This window comes from Homo sapiens, chromosome 2 (assembly GCF_000001405.40).
Source record: "Homo sapiens chromosome 2, GRCh38.p14 Primary Assembly".
NCBI classification, from domain to species: domain Eukaryota; kingdom Metazoa; phylum Chordata; class Mammalia; order Primates; family Hominidae; genus Homo; species Homo sapiens.
Window position 1 is genome coordinate 188965096 of NC_000002.12, and position 19880 is coordinate 188984975.

The 19880-nt window shown below is 33.0% G+C and overlaps 1 protein-coding gene, 1 long non-coding RNA gene and 2 other non-coding genes across 4 annotated transcripts in view; 2 read left to right on the forward strand and 2 right to left on the reverse strand.

The window, feature by feature from the left end:
- Positions 1 to 1362: 1362 nt before the first annotated feature.
- Positions 1363 to 19724, reverse strand: LOC105373791 (uncharacterized). Its single transcript, XR_007087614.1, has 3 exons — positions 19616 to 19724; positions 5252 to 5384; positions 1363 to 1571 (listed from the first exon to the last, which is right to left on the reverse strand). It is a non-coding gene; the product is annotated as an uncharacterized LOC105373791 (long non-coding RNA).
- COL3A1 (collagen type III alpha 1 chain) overlaps positions 9278 to 19880 on the forward strand; it is a 38374-nt gene continuing 27771 nt past the window's right edge. Inside the window, exons 1-2 of the mRNA NM_000090.4 lie at positions 9278 to 9473; positions 19665 to 19867. Coding sequence (NP_000081.2) covers positions 9395 to 9473; positions 19665 to 19867 — 282 coding nt within the window. The 5' untranslated portion in view covers positions 9278 to 9394. The remainder of the gene's footprint in view (positions 9474 to 19664; positions 19868 to 19880) is intronic.
- MIR1245A (microRNA 1245a) lies at positions 12997 to 13066 on the forward strand. Its single transcript, NR_031647.1, has one exon. It is a non-coding gene; the product is annotated as a microRNA 1245a (primary transcript).
- MIR1245B (microRNA 1245b) lies at positions 12998 to 13066 on the reverse strand. Its single transcript, NR_039947.1, has one exon. It is a non-coding gene; the product is annotated as a microRNA 1245b (primary transcript).

Sequence of the window (19880 nt, forward strand, 5' to 3'; positions counted from 1 at the left end):
TTAGATACACATTTGCTGAGCAACTAACATGCCAGGAACTGCATCAGACATTAGATATTTAATATTTCTCAGATTTTATTTTGAGATGATTGAAGCTCTCTGCATGACACTTTTTAGGGCTAACTACTTAAATCGCACAGTCAAAAACCATTTCTGAGACTACTTTAATTGTGAAAGACTCTCTTCCTCTTCTTCACTCAACCCCATTTTTTGCCTTTATCTATGCAAACTAACATTTGCAAGCCAAGCTTTTTCTTATAAGCTTTTGGGAAAAAAAATTATCTCTTGGATAGGGATCCAAAATAAACAGTTCAAATAAGATAGGCTTTGGGAAAATGTTAATAAACTTGACTCTGGCAAATTATTTGAGTTTCCTTGTGTTTCTTTCACTTGGCAGGGATTTTAATTTGGAAGTTAAAAAAAAATGAAGAAAAATGTCCTAAGATTTCACACATGGATACTTTTATTATAAAATGATAATTTTCTTATAAAACCACAACTCAAGGTTGAAAATTGGGGGGGGGGGTTAATTTAAACTTAAATTATATAAAATAGATTGGACAAATAATGATATTGCCAGAAAACTTTGAATCATCCATATTTGACTAGAATCTCAGCATCTCATCAGTCAACAGGTCCTTACCAAATGTCTGCCCTTTTGGACTGCTTGCTAGGTGCTAAAGAAACAGTGACCACCAAAACAGACGCAACTCTTTCCCCGAGGAGCTTCCAGTCTTGCAGAAAACATAAAGTAATAATTATGAGCAAATTATTATAACTATCAGAACATAAATGAAGCACTTTTGGAATGCAGCCATTCAATATGATCCATATTTAGGTATTCTTCTTTAATATTGTAAAATATCTTTACCCAAAATTTTGGTGCCCATTGTCCCTAAATTCTAAACTTTTGAGAAGAAGAAATGAGAAGCATTATCCTTATTTCTAGTGAAGCAGAAGAAAAGTTAACTACAGCAATGTAGTGGTGGGAATAACAGTGAAGAAAGCTGACACACACCGTGATGGGTACATATAGGCACTGGAGATGTTGACTGGCTATCACTGCTGCTGTTGTTTCCTCTGGTTGCCTTGTCATACTTTCTTCTTAATAACAGCTAGGAAGGATTTTGCTAACTAGTGGGCTGCAATCATTAAGGACTTGGTGAAATTCCAAAATCCACAACCCCTAGGAATTTTCCTGGATCCCCTACTTGGAGAAACATTGTAAGCAACTTACAGCACACTAAATCAGAAAGGTTGGCCTGTAAAACCATTTATGTAATTCCTCTGCTTTTGTTTTGGGGAATCTTCCAAAAGACGTGTCTAGAGAATCAGATATAATTTGAGCAGAGTATGCTAACGTGGCTTCAACAATGATTTTACTTTTCTCGTAATTTTGTACTCAACAATCATTTTTTCCAGTGATGTGTCATGCTGTCCCAGTTGACTGTCTGGCCATATTTTGCCCTGGTGTTTGCTATAGCAAAAAGTGCAGCTATAAAATTATCTTCTTCAGCTTGATGTTAATTTCGATGAAATCTTCCAAGATGTATCTTTTTTCACCTCTAAATCTATGTGATAACAAAAGATCAAACAGTTCTCGATCATATTTTGAATGGGAAATATTGGTATCATAAAATAATTCAAGAGCCTTATTTTAGCTACTTATTTCTTTCTAGTTAGTCATCATAACAAATAACCAGCGAATGTACTTTTTTTCTCCCCTTCCTCTCCATAAAAAGTATGTCACTTGCACAACTTCAAGTTAGGAAATGGGAAGGGTCAGGGAAATCTCACACAATCCTACCCAGTTTGATCACACATTACCTCCAACAGCTAGCCTTCAGCTGTTGATCTAACACCGCCAGCCACACCCTAACTAAAATTTTAGAAGTGACTGTTTTAGCTGGGCACCAGGATACAATCCATGGCGACACACCCCTGATGCTGAATCTAGGTCAATGTGGTTGTCCACTTTGCAGCTAACCTTGCCCTGAACAACCAAAAAATAGATTACAATTTCTACACATAAAGGGACCACTCTAGAATACTATTACCTGCCTTGTATGTCTCCTTAGCATGCTCAACTAAACAGATTGAAGTTCCCACAATTCTCATGGGAATTGAAGCTAATAAATCAAGCAATAAAATATAAAGCTTTAGACATTTGTCTTACATTACATGTGGGGTGTCTGTATTTGTGGGAAGGTAAGGAATTTTCAGTATTTTGATTTGTATTTTTTCTTTTTTTATTTGACATTTTGCACAGTTTTTTCCTTTTAAAAATTTCACTGTAAGGAAATTGAGTCAAGAAAAATGAAAACAATTTAAACAAAAAGTGTGATAATTCCTCTTTGAAGCATTTTAATTTCATGATGCTTATTTATATGTCATTTTTTTTCTTTTTACCCTAAAATAAAAATAAATTAAAATTATGATGCATTTCTAGTTCAATTATTTCAATTCATTTTGAAATTAACTTTTGGCTTTTCTGTCATTCTCTTTCATGATCCTTGGTAAATTACCTGTATTTCTTTCTATTTTATAAATTTTTCTAATGGTCTCTGACTTGTAATACTTGTGGTGAACACAGAGTTTGACTGCTTTCAATTTATTTCCTAACTAGTTCTATTGTTTATTTTTTCTATTTTATAAATAAATTCATAACATCTGGAAGTTTTTTAAATCGATTATAAATCCAAAGACTTCCTATGCTGGAAAGAGTGACCTTCTTTTTTAAGAGTGATGGAAATACTGGAAATAATTAACTTATTGAAAATTACCATGAGTTCTAAAGGATACAAAGGAAATAGATTACTTCAAATGTGTTTTTCTGGATTAAGTGTTTCATATTTTAAATCATTCGCCATTTGATTCTTATTAATTTCCTACTATGCACAAGGCCATGTAATAGCTACGATGGAGTATAAAATGAAAGATAAACCTTAGTTTTTCCCTGGAGTAGCTTTCAGCCTAGTAAACGACATAAAAAGATGTAAATTAAAATAAACTAAGAGGCATAGGAAAGGTAAGGTAAATTAGAAGAAGAGCAAAATGATTTTAACAGGGAGGATCAGAAAGATTTTGTAGATTAGTTGATCTTTGGGTAGAATCTTCAAAATAGGATTTGAACATACAGAATGAGGAACAATCATTTTAGACAGAAAGACAGTATATGCAAAGGTATAGAAACCCAGAAATGTAGAGTAGGTATTGGAAAAAAAAAAAAAAAAGAGCCATTTGATTTACTAAGAAGATAGTTCTTGGATCAAGATGAATTGCATATCAAGAATTATCTAAAATAGTGTTTTGTATCCTGCTGGGTTTGGGTTGAGAAATAGAGAGAGTGGCTGGACATGAAATAATAGAAATCAAATTATATTAATCTATTTAGTATTATTATCCAAAGGTTAGCACTTTGAATAATCAATATGGCATAATTTTTATGTGAAGACTTTCTACTTGGACTAGTTTATTTTCATGAGTCATATGTTTCACCTTAATCACTTTATGAAATATATCTGATATCTATAAAATAAAGAGGTGAAGAGCAGAAACTGATCCATGGTCTGGGTCCTATATTGATTTTTTTAAGAAATGCTTATATTATTAAACACGTAATATTTTAAATACTATTTAATGCCATCCTAATTCAGTCAGTCTTCGTTACATTGATCAGTATTCATTATGTACAAGGGACTGTGTTTACTACTGTTCATGATTTTTAAAAGTGGGTGAGGGTAGGAAACAAAAAAGGTTACAAAGAGGAGTAAAATAAGTACATAAAGAAATACAAAACAATGCTTCTAAAACGGACATTGCCACAAGAAAGCCAAGACTCCAGAGGGCAACACTTGAATCCTTGGGAACGAAAGGAGACTATTTGCTGTGGCCTCCTTCCTCCAAGAACATATACCAAGAACATACCTAAATGTAGAGTTCTTTAAACATGATTTAATGTACAGACAAAAATGAAGGCTTTAGACAATTTAGTAGACAATTTAATAGTCATGGCAAGTTAAACACAGAAAGGTCTGTTTATGTCTGTTTATTTTAGGCAAGGGAGCCTGATGAGGAGGCTTTCAATTTTTGTGTACTTAAGAATTATTTGGAATCAAAGATCCTAAATCTGAGCCCCCATTGTGTATCTGAATAGAAAAGATATTGATAGGAATTAAAAATCAGTCTCCATTTGAAGCATGTAGATTCCCTGTTTGGCTTTGACCTATTTCATGTATCTATCAGAAGATCGTGATTTGGGCCTTCCTTTTATCTTTACACAGAATTGGCTACATCTGAAGAGCTGTTACAGCTGTGTTGGATATTGCTGAAAATTCCTAAGGATGACTCAGATGACAAATTATATTTGATAGAGAGTCTAGTGGGATTTGCAGAGTGGAGCTTCAACCCTGAGAATGATTAAGTTAACTGAAGACTCAACAGGGAACGCCTGAGCTGCTTCACGATGTGGCATCCCAGTTTCTGTGTCACCCCTGTGGTAAATTTATAAAGTAATCACACTATTCAGGAATGAGATTAGGTAAGGAGATGAATTTCAATTTCCTATGAATTTTCAAATATAATTACAATAATAATTATGATAGTAAATAAAGCTATAATTAAAATATAAGTATATCAGAACTTCGTTCAAGAGAACATGCTTACAATACTTCAGAAAGTTTCACAATTCAAGTAGAGGCTTACCAGTAGTTTCCCTTTCAATGATTAATAGTCTGTTATGTTAAATAAGATTTCAGGTGACATGTTTATGTCTACATAAGCAAAAACTCATAGCTACTTATCTACTTATGTGAAGCAACATTGATATAACAAATACAAGTTATCTTACATGTATATTAAGGAAGTTTCCTAGAAATTTTTACTTGCTTGAATTTTTGTCAGCTTTTAAAAGTATATACATACGTATTTAATTATACATATATATGTGGGGGGTATATAAACATATACACACGCAAACACACAAAAACACATATGTGAACTCTTTTGCATGCCCTAAGATTGTACTTCATTAAGTGTAAAGTAGTGGACTTTTACTTAAATACAATACTGAAAATTACTCAAAGATTAATGACAAGACAAAAATCAGAATGGTAATTTTTGTAAATTGGCCATTAACTCCATAACATTATCATTTTTTTCATCCTTTCACAATGCCTCATTAGAAAACATACAAAATTAAGTGTCAGATTTGTATTTACCACACTTCTAAATTGCGTAAAAATATCTTTACCACAATCAGTGATTAGTGGAAAGCATGGTGAAAATATTTGTAAAGTGTGCTAGTCAGTTCCAGTTGCAATGAATTATTTTGAGGGTCATGGAACCTCTTTGAACTTTCTGTTCAATCTTGGGATACTTCCCAGCTGCAAAACACAAAGACAAAAATTCAGAGCCTTAGCTTTAATAGCAAAGAATAGGTAGGAATCAAGATACTCAGTTTTTTCTAACTAAATTTTACTGGAACTTTACTTTACTAAATGTCAAGAAAATATGGATTTTGTACAAAAGTGAAAATTTTTAGTTATTTACAATTCCAATGAGTAATTTTGAGAGTCATGTAACCTCTTTAAACTTTCTGTTCATTCTTGGGATACTTTTCAGTTGCAAAATACAAAGATAAAAATTTAGAGCCTTAAGTTTAATAACAAAGAATAGATAGGAATTGAGATACTTCGTGTTTCCTAACTAAATTTTACTAAAACTTTATTTTACTAAATGTCAAGAAAATATAAATCTTGTACAAAAGTGAAATTTCCAGGCTAAAAAGAAATGGTTATTAAAATGGTTCTATAAGAAAAAAACAAGGGGTCAATGAACTCTACCTTGGGGACTAAGGGGAAATTAAAGAAAAGGGTCTTGAAGACTTGGTCATATAATCACTCAAAAACTGGACTATCATGTCCCACTGCCAGTGTAATTTGCCTCAATCCTGGACATATCTATGGTTAAATATGTTTAAGTCCTGCAAGTACAACATGACTTTTTCAACCATATTTTTGGCTCTACTATGCACATACTAGTATTTGTTCAAATTCTTTTAAAGGAAACACAACTCTTCAAATGTGGTTTTACCTTTATCAACTGAGTGAACTGATCAACCTCTCTGGGAATAATAAAGAAGACCTGCATTGTATTTTACAGTTGTATTGGTAGTTCTATTATCACAAGTAGTTTTTAAATGGCTTTACAGTGATTTGAAATCTAGAAAATGTCCCTAAAAATAAAGCATCTTGCTGGCTTCAAAAAGAAAATCACACATAAAGCCGCACAACAAAGGGGAGGGGAGAGGAAAGAGAGAAACATTGAAACATTTCTGTTCCATGTGTTTTCCATGGTGGAGATAATTGATTTTCTTAGTGCTGTTGTAGAAAGCGCTGCTGGCATTCACTGGCCTACTGAGTTCATCACAGCTGTGCTTGTGCATCTCTCTCAAGCTCCACTTTCCACTGAATTGGAAAAGATTTGAATTTTTGGTTGATAATCTGCCACACCCTTGCTTTGCCTCATCTTTCCAGGCACTCTCTTTGTTAAAGGAGATCCAGATTAATCAGTGCTTTAGTTGGTGCAGGTATTTAGATTTGTGTTAAAGCTCCAAATGCAATCCAAAAAGCAAAATGACATGTTTATGTGTCCTGGTTAACATCAGTGAAGTCAGGGAAGTATGGGAAGAAATGTGTGGCTAGATAACAATGAGGACAGCAGTTCCTGGATGGCATAATAGGATTCAGAAGTGTATGCATTTCACCTAGTTCAGACCCTGTATTAAGAAATGCTTTGACCCCGTATTAGGAAATGCTTTGACAGGAGGTAGAAAAATAGGATCTGGGACACAGAATGCAAAGGATCCTAGTGCAAAACCTCCATATTCGAGGTAGTGAAGAATCGTAAATCAGAATATCTGGAGAATGAATTCTCTAGGTCTCTCCTGAAGACCTTAAAATACAACAATCCTTCCATATGCAAAACATCAGCTAATGTTTCTTAAGTGAGTGCATCAATCATGAATTTTTCTCATGAGTATAAGGCTTTTATTTGAATAGCTAAGCAAATTAAGAATTTTAGAACAATAGTAATTTTATTTATAATGCCTAAAATAAAGCATAACAAGCATTATTTTAAAAATAACATTTCTAATTTTTCACAGTGGAAAATAAATCTAATGAAGAAATTCAATAAATTTCAGCTTTTATAGACCACCTAAAACAATGAGAGAAATCTAATATAGATATATGAATTCTACGTAGATACAAAGACATCATGAGAAAAACTATGTTTCTGAATTGGTTTGAACACAGGAAATATTTTTTGTGTACAGGACAAAGATGTCTGAAAGACAGAAAGATGCATATAACAGCCTTTCCCCAGCATCTCTACTGTGATCCAGTAGAAAAGCTTATATTCATGACCATTCTCAACAGTTACTTTTCTCCCACGCCCCCAAGCAGTGACTCTCCAATCTAAAATAAAGATACACAAGAGGTTGGTCTCGTTCTAGTTTTCCTTTCCTGTCATCAAATGATGTCATCTACATTGAGATGTCTTGGTTTGTGTCCTTGTGACTGAAGATATAAGAAAGCTTGGGAGGCCGAGGCGGGCGGATCACGAGGTCAGGACATCAAGACCATCCTGACTAACACGGTGAAACCCCGTCTCTACTAAAAATACAAAAAATTAACCAGGCGTAGTGGCGGGCGCCTGTAGTCCCAGCTACTCGGGAGGCTGAGGCAGGAGAATGGCGTGAACCCGGGAGGCGGAGCTTGCCGTGAGCCGAGATTGCGCCACTGCAGTCTAGCCTGGGCGAGAGAGGGCGACCCCGTCGCAAAAAAAAAAAAAAAAAAGATGCAAGAAACAAGAAAGCAAGTTTGCCACTGTCCATGCTTACAGGATTCATGTACACCTGGGAATATACATATGACATGAGTTGAGTGAAAATTTAGTAACACAAATTAGAAGAAAGAGAAAGATGAAAATTAGTTTAAAGGAGGTAATTTACTTAAGGAGGAAAGTTTTGCATTGAGGCATAAGGAAGTGACTTCCATTAATTGGTGTGAAATGGGGAGAATTTTATGTGCACAGGCATAGAGACGGACATGTTTAGGTGAAGGTGAAGAAAATTAGTTCAAGTGACCTTGATTAGAATTGAAATGTCCACCGTAGATTATAGAGATAGATGAACTAACTATGAACTGATGATTAGGGTGTAAAGAGATATCTCCATTGCCAGATATAGCCTTATACTGTGGACAAGCATATTTTTCCTGCAGAGATTTATCAAAGACCTATAAATGGTATTTGCCCCTCTTTCAAATATGACACAAAAATTACTGCTTAGATAGATCCAGAAATACATTGGAAAGTTTTGTGGATGAGGATCTGGAAAGTATACACATAAAAGTCTAAATTAGAAATATTTATACTAATCTTTAGAGTAATGCAGAAAAAATGACCACTTTCTCTGGTACTCTTTTGCTATTCTATGTGATAAACTCTTTCTCTTCCAGTTTCCTAAAAAGTTATGTCATGAAAAGGCTGAATTTTTCTCTAGAAAAATCTGCTCTGTCTTTCCCAGGCAGCATAAAAATTGGAAATCTCACAAGAAAGCACTCTGGCTTGCTAAAGAAATTTGTGAGAAATGGAAACAGCTATAGATAAGTATCTAACTTTTAGGAAGCCATTCAAACATTGCTGAAATACTTTGTCTTTTGATATTTGCCTGAAACTTAACTTCTAGGACCCAGGGTGGGTGGATGAGTCGAAGGGGCATACGGTGGCATTTCTTTCCGTGAGTCTCTTACAGTCTCCTATTTAAATTGAGTTAGGATTACTTCTGGCAAAATCCCAACATAAAAATCTTCTAGGAAGATCAGTTCTGTAAATTAGACATACTAGATAAATGGGCATCAAGCAGTTTTTCAAAATTATGCAGTTGTTAACTTCATAAGGGGAAATAAAAATGTATGCATTTACATTGTATGTATTAAAACAAGGCAGAGCATTTCTATACGTTCCTAAGTTATACAAACATATATGTAAGAGTGAAATATGTAAAAAAACTTTTACATAAGCAGATGCATACAAACTCCAGATGTGCTCTTTTTCTTACTGTGGGTTGTGTCTTCTATAAGGGAAAAAGAAATATTTATCATTTCTTTTACTGCTGAGGGGATGGGTGCGGCTCTCATATTTCAGAAAGGGGCTGGAAAGTGAGGGAAGCCAAACTTTTTCCTATTTAAGGCCAAAGCAAAGGAATCTCAGTGGCTGAGTTTTATGACGGGCCCGGTGCTGAAGGGCAGGGAACAACTTGATGGTGCTACTTTGAACTGCTTTTCTTTTCTCCTTTTTGCACAAAGAGTCTCATGTCTGATATTTAGACATGATGAGCTTTGTGCAAAAGGGGAGCTGGCTACTTCTCGCTCTGCTTCATCCCACTATTATTTTGGCACAACAGGAAGGTGAGTAGGTACTGATTTCAAGAAACTTTATGGGATTTTTGTCTTTCTTCTCCTCACAAAGAGGGGTGTAAAGGGGAAAATCAGTTGCCTGATTCAAGATAATTTCCTCTATAAGCTCCAGATTGTGAAACGTTGAACTGACCATGGCTGTGCTTTTTACATTACTTGAAAAATAATCGCGTTATGTGTGTTTTTAAGAGTTCTGTGGTTAAGATAAGATGTTCTTGTACTAACTTGTTTTCATGTTAAAGGCACTGGAAACTTTTAAAAATGGCTTTAAAATTTTTCCCTCCTGGATTGTTAACATCTTGGAATACTTCCCCAGGCAGTCTGGAAGTTATTGGTCTCTTGCAATAATTTTATGTTCCTCTTTGTCTGCTGGATTCTTTGTAAGGTTAGAATATTGAGCATTGTTTTCTGAATAAGAATGCCTTTCAAATATCATGGATTAAGAACAGTCTAAAGGAAGATTCTACGCATTATCAGAATCATTGAATATATTTCTGTAAAATGGCTACAAGATACCTATAAACATTCTTCAAAGGGATCAAACTGCTAAAATATTTTATTATTCCTGTTTTTATTTTGTTTCAAGAATGATTGATTAATTCATCTTTTCTAGTAGCTTGATATTAAGGGACTAATATTTTCCACATATTCTACGTTTTAACCACATTCGCATTAATGAAGAAAATATTTTTTAAAATGTTTCAACAGGAGGTTTGACTTTGCTGCAAACAAGGTAAAGATACTAGTACTGTTTGACTTCAGAAAGCTGTTTTGCTATATTTTCTAATAATTGCATGTAATGTTTTTCATATTCTAATTTCCCCTAAAAACACATTTGTCTCATTATTTATGTGAAAATATTCTTTTATTTACCATAGTCATGAAAATGCTGAACAAATTGGAATACAAACTTCCATAGAAATAAATATTTAAGTGCTAAATGTAAAGATAGCTAGGAGAAATTATTAGACAATTTTTATTGCACATAACTAAACATGGTTACATTTAAACATATAGATTTTGCAAAGGACACTGCATGAAAATTTGGTTTTTGTTTGTAATATCAAATGTATTTGTTGTCCTCATAGCTAATACATGTAAATGTGTGTATGAGGGGAGGGGTAGATATACAATGAAATGTCTTCAGTTATATTCAGCCCATGGACACAAAAGAAAAGAAACACCCATTTTCCTTGTTCCCTTAATTTCCTCTCCTCCTTACCCCTCCTCTCCTTCGCTTTGCCCTCCTCCTTATCTCTCTCCACCCCTTTTGGCTCCTTTAGACTTCTCTTCACTCATCACCCCACCCCTTCCTAGGCAAGCCCATATCTACTCCTCTCTCCTCCTCTGTCTTCCCTGCCTGTTACTCCCTCCCTACTCCCCATGTGGCCTCCTTATGCCTCCATTTCTTTTTTTTAGTTCTCTCTCTCCTTGCCTCCTCACCCTTTCTTTCCCCTGAACTCTCAATCCTTCTTCCTTTCTCATTCCTCTCCCCTTTTCCTCCCTATCCTGCTCTTCCCAGGAGATGCTACAACTCACAGTCCTTTTTTAGGATACCAAATGACTACTATCCCCCACCAACCATTTATTGAAAAGACTACAAACTTAGGGGTTTTAGCTCAAAAAATTGCAACATATTTGTAGTTGCCTCGTGGTTGCAAGCTTTTTATAAGCACTGTGGCTATTTTTCTTCCCAATCCAACTTTAGTGGGGGGGTGTTTGCCACTTACAGTACCTTGACATCACATTAAGTTCTGTTTATTTCCCTCTTTCTCTTTAGATGCAAAAAATAATCAATAAGTATAAAATTTTGCTGATATGTGTTTGTGTGTTCTTAAGCTCAAAAAGAGTTGAAAGAGAACTGTTCAGCCTATTTTTTTTGTCATGAGTAAAAGTAAAGTTGAAGTGACTTAAGACAGTACATCTTATGTTCCCTGTGGGTTTTACAAGGAAATTCTGCTATTAGATAAGCTTTGGAAAAGTTACAGGAGGTATCTGAATATACAGCACACTGAGAGCTGTCATAAAGTTCTGGGGTGGGGTTTCTTATATATGCCCTCATAACTTCAGAGACGGCACAGCTCTAATGAACACTCACTTCTAGTTCACTCACAGGCATTTTCTGGATACAAACAAGTCCTCAAAAAGAATTTTGGTCGTCTTACAAATTTGTGAACATTGTATTTAATTCATGTGTTTTAATCCACCAATGGAGAAACATAGTCTGTTTTATATTTCCTGTAGATTATAAACATGCCAAGTTTTAAGTACAAAGATGCGTCACCTAGTGGCTGACAAGCCAGGTTACCATTTACATAACGAATGCCAATATTAATGTTATGTAGCTGGCTTTGGTAGTTTATAATGAGCTTTAAAAAATTCATATGCGTGAATTTTAAATGTTAACACTGCTCTCCTAAGGAAATTAGTATGTTACGGATAAATATTGCAAACACATATACTGACACGAAAACACAATGGTAACAATATTCAGAGTCTTTTTGGAAATTAGCTTAAATGTTACGGCCACTTAAAAATTCTACATATGACTATTGTTTAAATACATTTTTCATGTCTCTGATGTAGTCCTTATTTGACATAAGTATTTTATTCACTGCTTAATTGTTAGATAGATTATAGACAGCTGTTACTAAGTAATACTGCTCCATTAGGGCAGAAACAGAAACTTTATTTTAATTAAATGTGTACTAATGTTTGAGTTTCTATATTTTGCTACAGTGATAATTCCAGTAAAATAAACTGTAGGCCTCTAGTTGTTTTAGAATTTTAAAACTGTAAATGGACTCAGAGAATCAGTTTCTTATTAGACGTCATGAGAGTATATTTTTTTCATTATGCTTTAAGAGGGAATTTGTAACTTGCTCAGGTAACATTCAAGTTTTCTGGTTTGTGTTTGTCCCTACAATTAAACACACTGAACTAACAGGAAAAGGTTACATACATTTAGGAACAATTGCACTTTTAAAGGGAGAGAATGCATAGTTGCTCACATATCTCAGTGTCAGTCACCTAACATGGATCAGTGCTTTATTTGAGATTACAAAACTAGAAAATGACGGAGTCAAGGCTAGGACCAATATTCTGTTCAGTCTTAGATAATTATAGAATACACATTAAAATCAGATATTTGAATTTTCTTAATTTTGTAACTATTTGTCATTGAAAGGAGATACTAAAAAAATTATATATCGTCCTAGAAAGTACATGAACTAATAATGCATTTCTAAAGGTGAAAAAAGAATAGGTATTTTTCTGTTTAATATTCAATTTTATAGAGAGTAGTACGTTAATTTTTTTAAACCCCAGAAGCTCAGGATCTTATCATTTTAAAAGAAATTATCACCAGTTCTGTGTGAGTAAATAAAGTATTATAACACTTTGTGTTTTTCATCCATGATACCTTGTATTTACTTACCTGAGCTTTTTTTCTAGGGAAAGAAAAATGCTCAGGTAATAACAGAGCCTTGAAAAATTTGGATTTTCAAAACTACCTATTTATGTATAGGCCTTTAGATCATCTGATGTTGAATACTCTTTAAGTGATCTAAAGGCCTACATATAAAAAGGTATTTTTATTAAATTCTGGAATTAAACATTTCAGCATTACAAGAAAAGAAAGCAAATCCACTGGAACAATTCTGGGAAAGAAGGAAAGACTGTGATTAAATGCCTCTTAACTACTTCAGATTCCTGGATTGATGTCTTATCTACAGGCTTCTTTTTAAAAATCAAGAATGATTGGCTGTGAGTTTACCAGGATTATAGTTGAGGCTAAAGGACAGCTCCTCAGGAAAGCCCCTGTTCTACATCTACGGTCACATGCTGGACCTTGAGTTGTCACTCAGAGAAAAGAGTGCCATCTACCGAAACTCCACAGTTTCCATTGTGAATGGCTTCTTTGGTGCAGAGTTCCAAAAATTATGTAGCCCAGCTCTTTAATTTTGTAACATCTAATGATATCACCGCCTTGAAGTGATTAAAGTAGATTGCTTAAAGAATTAAAGCTTTAAAGATGAAAGATGTTATTGCTTTTGCTGGACATGAGGAACAGTTGTAAAGTTTCCAGGTCTACAATAACTTTCTGGAACCCTCTCAGTGAACTGTTTCTTGTAAAAGTTTTCCCTAAGATAAAAGCTCAATCCCATTGTTTCCACACTCAAAAAAAAAAAAAAAAAAAAGATCATATAGTGTAAAAAAAAACTCTCCAGACTTTTCAAAGGGGAAACTTTGCCTGTTTCATGTCAAGATGACAACGGAAAAAATGAGATAGCTATTCTTACATAAATCATTTGTGAACTGCAGTTGGGGGAGTTACATTAACCACCAGAGTTTCAGTCTGTGTCTAATGAAAACACAGCAGAAGTGGATTCCTTTCAGATTAACTAATAAAACCCTTGTTTTTTTCCATGACTGAGGTCAAGCACTGCTGTTTAAAATGTAGTCTTAATGAACAAAATGAAACGTTGAAAGAGGACGAGTCAAAATGCCCAAAAGATGTAAACATCAAAGAGAAAAGATCCAGAAATTATTAAAAGTTAAACTTCCCTTGAATTCTAGTATTAAGAAAGTACTGCTTCAGTAAAATGGCATATATTTTTCTGAAACTGTTTTTCTATAGTATTTTGTGTGGAGGATGACAGAGACTGCATTTCTCAAGTAAATTAAAATCACAGAAATACTCTTTGGAGTTGCATAGCATGTTCACAACGTTCCAGTTTCATTCAGTGAAAACTTCTGATGAACTTAGATGTATATTAACATGAATCATTTAGTAACTATATTTTCTGAAAAACAGTGTGTTAATGAGACATCTTAAACATATTTTTGCATTGGATGCAGAAGTCTTTTCTGTCTGGTACTATTGTTGTTAGAACCCTACTTTTTTGTATATAGCAAAATGTATGCAGGGTTTCTGAGTCACACATTTATTCTGTTGGTGGTCTGGATGTCATCAGGGTAGCTTTAGAGATATAACCCTTCTTCATAAGGTCAAGAGAAAATAAACAGGAGAATTTAACTCCAGATGGCATCTTCCTGTTTTGAGGCCAGATAGAAAAATATTTTGCAAAGAACTGTTGTCCTTCAAAATATACCTATCTAGATTCAGATTTTAACCTTGCAGGGATAAAAAATCATATGGGACAGAGCTTTGGAGTTGGCTTCTTTAATCGTACTCAGTTTTGAAATAGCAGAAAGAAAATAGAATGCAGTAATTAAGAGTATCAAATTTAGAGAAAGCCTTCTTACACTCAGATCTTCTTTTTCACCCTGACTGTGTAACCTTGGGAAAATTACTTAATGTTTCTGCAGTTAAGATTCCTCATCTGTAAAATTAGGATTATGACAGCTGTAAGCTCATAAGGCCTTTGGGAGTATGAAGCAAAATAGATATTCAAACTACTCAGAGCAGTCCCTACAAGATAGGAGGTACTATAGCACTAGTTTTACTAACGCTGGCAAATAAAATTACTCTAAGGAAGAAATTAAAGTACTTAGTAACTTAGTGATAAGGATGGTGAAATGTAAAATTTTATTTATAAGACTATACAATTTAAAGTTGTTTGCCAAATGTAATAAGACAAGTAGAATATATTCTCTTCAATGTTTTTATAATTTGACACTAAGAAGATTTTATTATATATGCAATTGCTGGTGGTTAGATATATGATACTTAAAATTTTCTAATTATCTAATTATTTTTATTTTTAACAGGATAAAATATTAATCAACTTAAAGGACATTTCTAAGGAGATTGAATTCTAAAAGATTAATCTTTTAGACAATTCTAAAAGATTAATCTTTTAGACAATTCTAAAAGATTAATCTTTTAGACAATTCTAAAAGATTAATCTTTTAGACAATTCTAAAAGATTAATTGAATTCTAAAAGATTAATCAACTTAAAGGACATTTCTAAGGAGATTGAAAAAGCATATATCTATAAAATATGAAACAAGAAAATATCTACAAATGATAATTTATCAACTTTTTTTCCTGGAGGTAGCAAGAATAAATAAAATCTTATTTTCTATGCAAAACAGTGCTTTTAAATTAAAATTATTCACCTAGAATGTCTACAGATACTTTCTTCAGAGTCCTTTTTGTTAAGTAATCTAACATATTTTAAGATACTCTGATAAATACATAAGCAGCAGAAAAAATATTTTATTAAAATTTATGTTTTCCAAACAATATCATTTAAAAGGCAAACCAAACATTATTTCAATTGGAAACTATATGAATGCCAAATACCCACATGTACAAAATATTCAGCTTTCTAAAGTAATGAAAATAATTATGATAATTTATATATCATATCTGTGATTCTTAGATTTTCAGATTATACAACATCTTTTCCCAGATAAGGATTTAGTAAGAAGAGAAAAGGAAAAAACATTCACTTTTCATTCAAGCCAAATTAATTAATTTAATTAGGTGCTTTAGGGAATAATATTATTGCTCCAAAAATAGTATTAAGACAAACATAACATTCATTTTTTGTCCAAACAATATGATTTCTTCAAGTCAGCATGATTTAACATGAAGAATGGAAACAAAAAAATCACAAAATAGTAAGCTTTATGCACATCTAAAAATATAAAATTATGTTATTTGGCTTTATTTTTCTCTAAAATTCCAAAATAGAAAACTAGGAAAGAAGCAGCTAAGAGTGGTTTAAGACATGTGTTAGCTTCAATATGTTTTATATTATAGATCCCAGCAAGGAGATGATTGAGTTTAATACATTGCTTGTGTGATCACAAGTAAATTTCTTTCAGAATTGTACTTCGTAGTAAGGAACAGAAACACCAAATGACATGGGAGATGGAATTTAAAATTAATTATAAATTGGAACAGAGAGATTTAGTTTAAACAACTAAAATAATGGAAATAATTGGAAAGTCCATTACTTTTCAATAGTAGAATGAAATTATTTGCCTTTTATTTAATATTTTTGGAAAAAATTAACTTATTTTTTTAACCGAAGCTACTCTGAATGCAGATATCTAAGAAATGAAGAGAATAATATGAGATGACTTACTTCTAAATCCCATTTTCTATTCTATTTCTAAATGTTGCAAATGGCTAACTAGAGCATTTTTATTCCTCTAGAAACAAAACATTCTTTTCCTTGACTTTGCCATGATTTTCGCACATATTACTAGGTATTAAATGAAGGTCCATGAAACATCAATCTAAGAGCTTTAACTTTCAGTAGAATATATTGCTAACTATATTTTGTCATGCATGGAATAATAAAGGAAGCTATACAAAACTATTTTTTTCAGCAAAGGTAACTAAGGTAGAAAAACAGAGAAAGGGCTAATTTTCAGCCACAAGTTTTTACAGGAACTGACTTCTCAGGAGAGCCAAATTTATTTCAAGTGGATGTGAAATAAGTTATGGCAATAAATAAAGTTGCATTAATTCTTATTTTTTAAACATTCCAACTCTCTTTTTTTTACTTAAAACAATATGACTTTCTAAAGTAAAACAAAACATACATGCACCATGTTGACTGTCATGTGCAGGTGAGAAGAGAAAAATATTTTAAGAATATGATAATTTTTAAAATTGCACTAAAATAATCTTTATATTGAGGCCTCCGTGTTTTAAAAAGTACTATAATATGTTTCTAATAAAATTTAGAAACAATAAGCTAAATAACAACGTTAATACTTATAACATTGCATTTGACCCAATTTTAACAAACTCATTTACAATTTTAATAAGTCAATATTGTGCTCATTTATTTAATAATTAGCAGAACAAATGGAAAGTACTGTATTTCTAATGATGTGAGGACACCCTTAATGAGACATAAACATAGGAGGATGAATACACAGGAGGGAAAAGTATTTATGTTAATTTCTAGGCAGATCAAGAACATATAGAAGATACTTAAAATAGGAAATGTTTGAGCCTAGCTTTAACTATTATCTTCATTTGTCTTTAATATGCCTTTAGTATTCAATGGCTGTTTTTCATAATCCACGTGCTGTATTAAGTGTGAAAAGATATGCCTGATCCAGAGGCAATGAGCTAAAAGAATCATCTGTACAATCTAACAATGCTTTTGAGGATGGATCTGGAGGGCTTAAAATACACATTATTAATGGGAAAATCTTGGGCTGAAACTAATCTGTAGGAATATTTCATATAAAGTTGATTTGGAGAAAATTTTTAAGTGGTTCATTTTGAGAAAAGGAACCAATGTAATTACAGTGTTCCATGTAATTTTACTGCACAATCTTCCAAACCCAAATTTTCGGACCTTTTCTGCAGACTGGTGAACTTAGTACTTAAATATGAAACGCCAGTTCTGTCTAGAGAACAAAATGAGTTTAATGCATAGACTCACCTGTTATTACTCTTCACACCAATGTGTAAATGACTGTTTGCTCTTCTATTAAATATATTTTCCGTAACACCATTCAAATAGGCCTACTTCATTTCCACTGAGATAAGCATTTTGGTATTCAGCTTTTATATTCACTAAGAATTAAGAAATGCTGTTTTAAAAGCTTAGGAAATGTATATAGAAAATATATCCCATGTTCTCATATATGTGTTTCAGACATAGGGGAGGAATTAGAATAAATTTTCTAAATAAACAAATTATTTGCCTACTTAAAATTGCAATTAAAAAATGAAGCTTTCCTTCGTTAGCTGTAAACTACATTGAGAAATTGTAACATAAAAAAGAATGGATTTTTAAAACTTCTTGAGTAGATCAAGTGTCTTGTACAATATCATTAAATTTGTATCAGAACACATAAATGGAAATGAGGTGGGGAAGCAATTGCAGTACTTTCTAGAGTCTAGGTTTTGAAATTCTTTTTGGTGAACATTTACTAAATCAGCTAAACATTTCAACTCATTTAAACACAAACCTAAATTATTATTACCCTAGACAGAGAGATGATATAGCAACGGGACCTCGAAAAGGTGATCTTTTGTGGCTGCATGTAGTGCCCAGATGGAAAAATCTTAGGACCACTAAAAGGCCTCTTGACCACTAGGCGGCAAAAACTAATTTTGAACTACTTGCCTACTCGGTAGCAGGCCTCTTTCAATAGACATTTTAAATATCTTGGCTTTGAGAAAATAAAAATTTCACCATCTCACAAAAATATAAATTACTGAACAGTACATCATTTGTTGTTTGCAAAAATTTTTGCAGATGCTTAGAAACTTATTATTTATTTACTCAATTACTGGCAAACTATCATACTAATTGTCAAGAACTAAAGTTGTATTTAACCACAATACACAGCTAATGCCTTAAGAATTGAGACCAGGTTTTGTTTTGGCAATTCCTAAGCTGATTCATAGTTAATAGCTGCTGAAATTTCAGTACCTTGTATATAATTATGAAGCAAGTCTAAAATTTTGGTTGAAGCAATTTTTTTTACCATTTTAAGCCACAAATACAGATGGTTATGATTCATATTTTCCCTATTATTTTTACTTATTCCTTGCCAATGTTTATTTTAAAAACATCTTTTTCTTTTCTTTTTGGTGATTTGGAAATGTCTTTACATCCATATGGGATATACAATATATTATGTCATATCATGTTGAGCTACTAATGCCAAATAGAGCTAACAGTGACATTCAATACACATAATAAGTTCTGTTAAAACTTTCCCAGGAAAATCTGGTAGAGTTTTATGCTGCCAAGATTAGCTCAGTTTTCCCCTGAATTTCTCAACTAGGTTGATAAAATCCAGAAAGTCTTCAGAGTTAGTGACAAAATCATCTCTTTAGTTTAATGCTCCCATCTGCTGTTAAGGCAAAGAATAGCAATTGGGTAGAAGAGCTTATTTTCAATGTTCCTTTAATAAATAAATGTTTAAATGCTTGTGTGATATACATTGATGTTAATTCTTACTATAAATGAAATTAAAATATCTGCTGGTCTTAAGGAAAATTGACTATGGTGTGCCAATTTTATGTTAACAAGCAGATATGATATTTTAATTAATTTCTTGCTACTTAGCAAATTACATAGGGCAAGTATAATTTTCTAATGAAAGGAAGAAATTATTTGTTTCAAACCTTTTCAACTTTGGCTATTGTTAATAGTCCTAACAGAGTAACAAAAATCACCTTTCAGCAAAACCTAAGGAAACTTCACGTCATCTAACTTGTTTTTCAGCTGTTGAAGGAGGATGTTCCCATCTTGGTCAGTCCTATGCGGATAGAGATGTCTGGAAGCCAGAACCATGCCAAATATGTGTCTGTGACTCAGGATCCGTTCTCTGCGATGACATAATATGTGACGATCAAGAATTAGACTGCCCCAACCCAGAAATTCCATTTGGAGAATGTTGTGCAGTTTGCCCACAGCCTCCAACTGCTGTGAGTTTAAAGA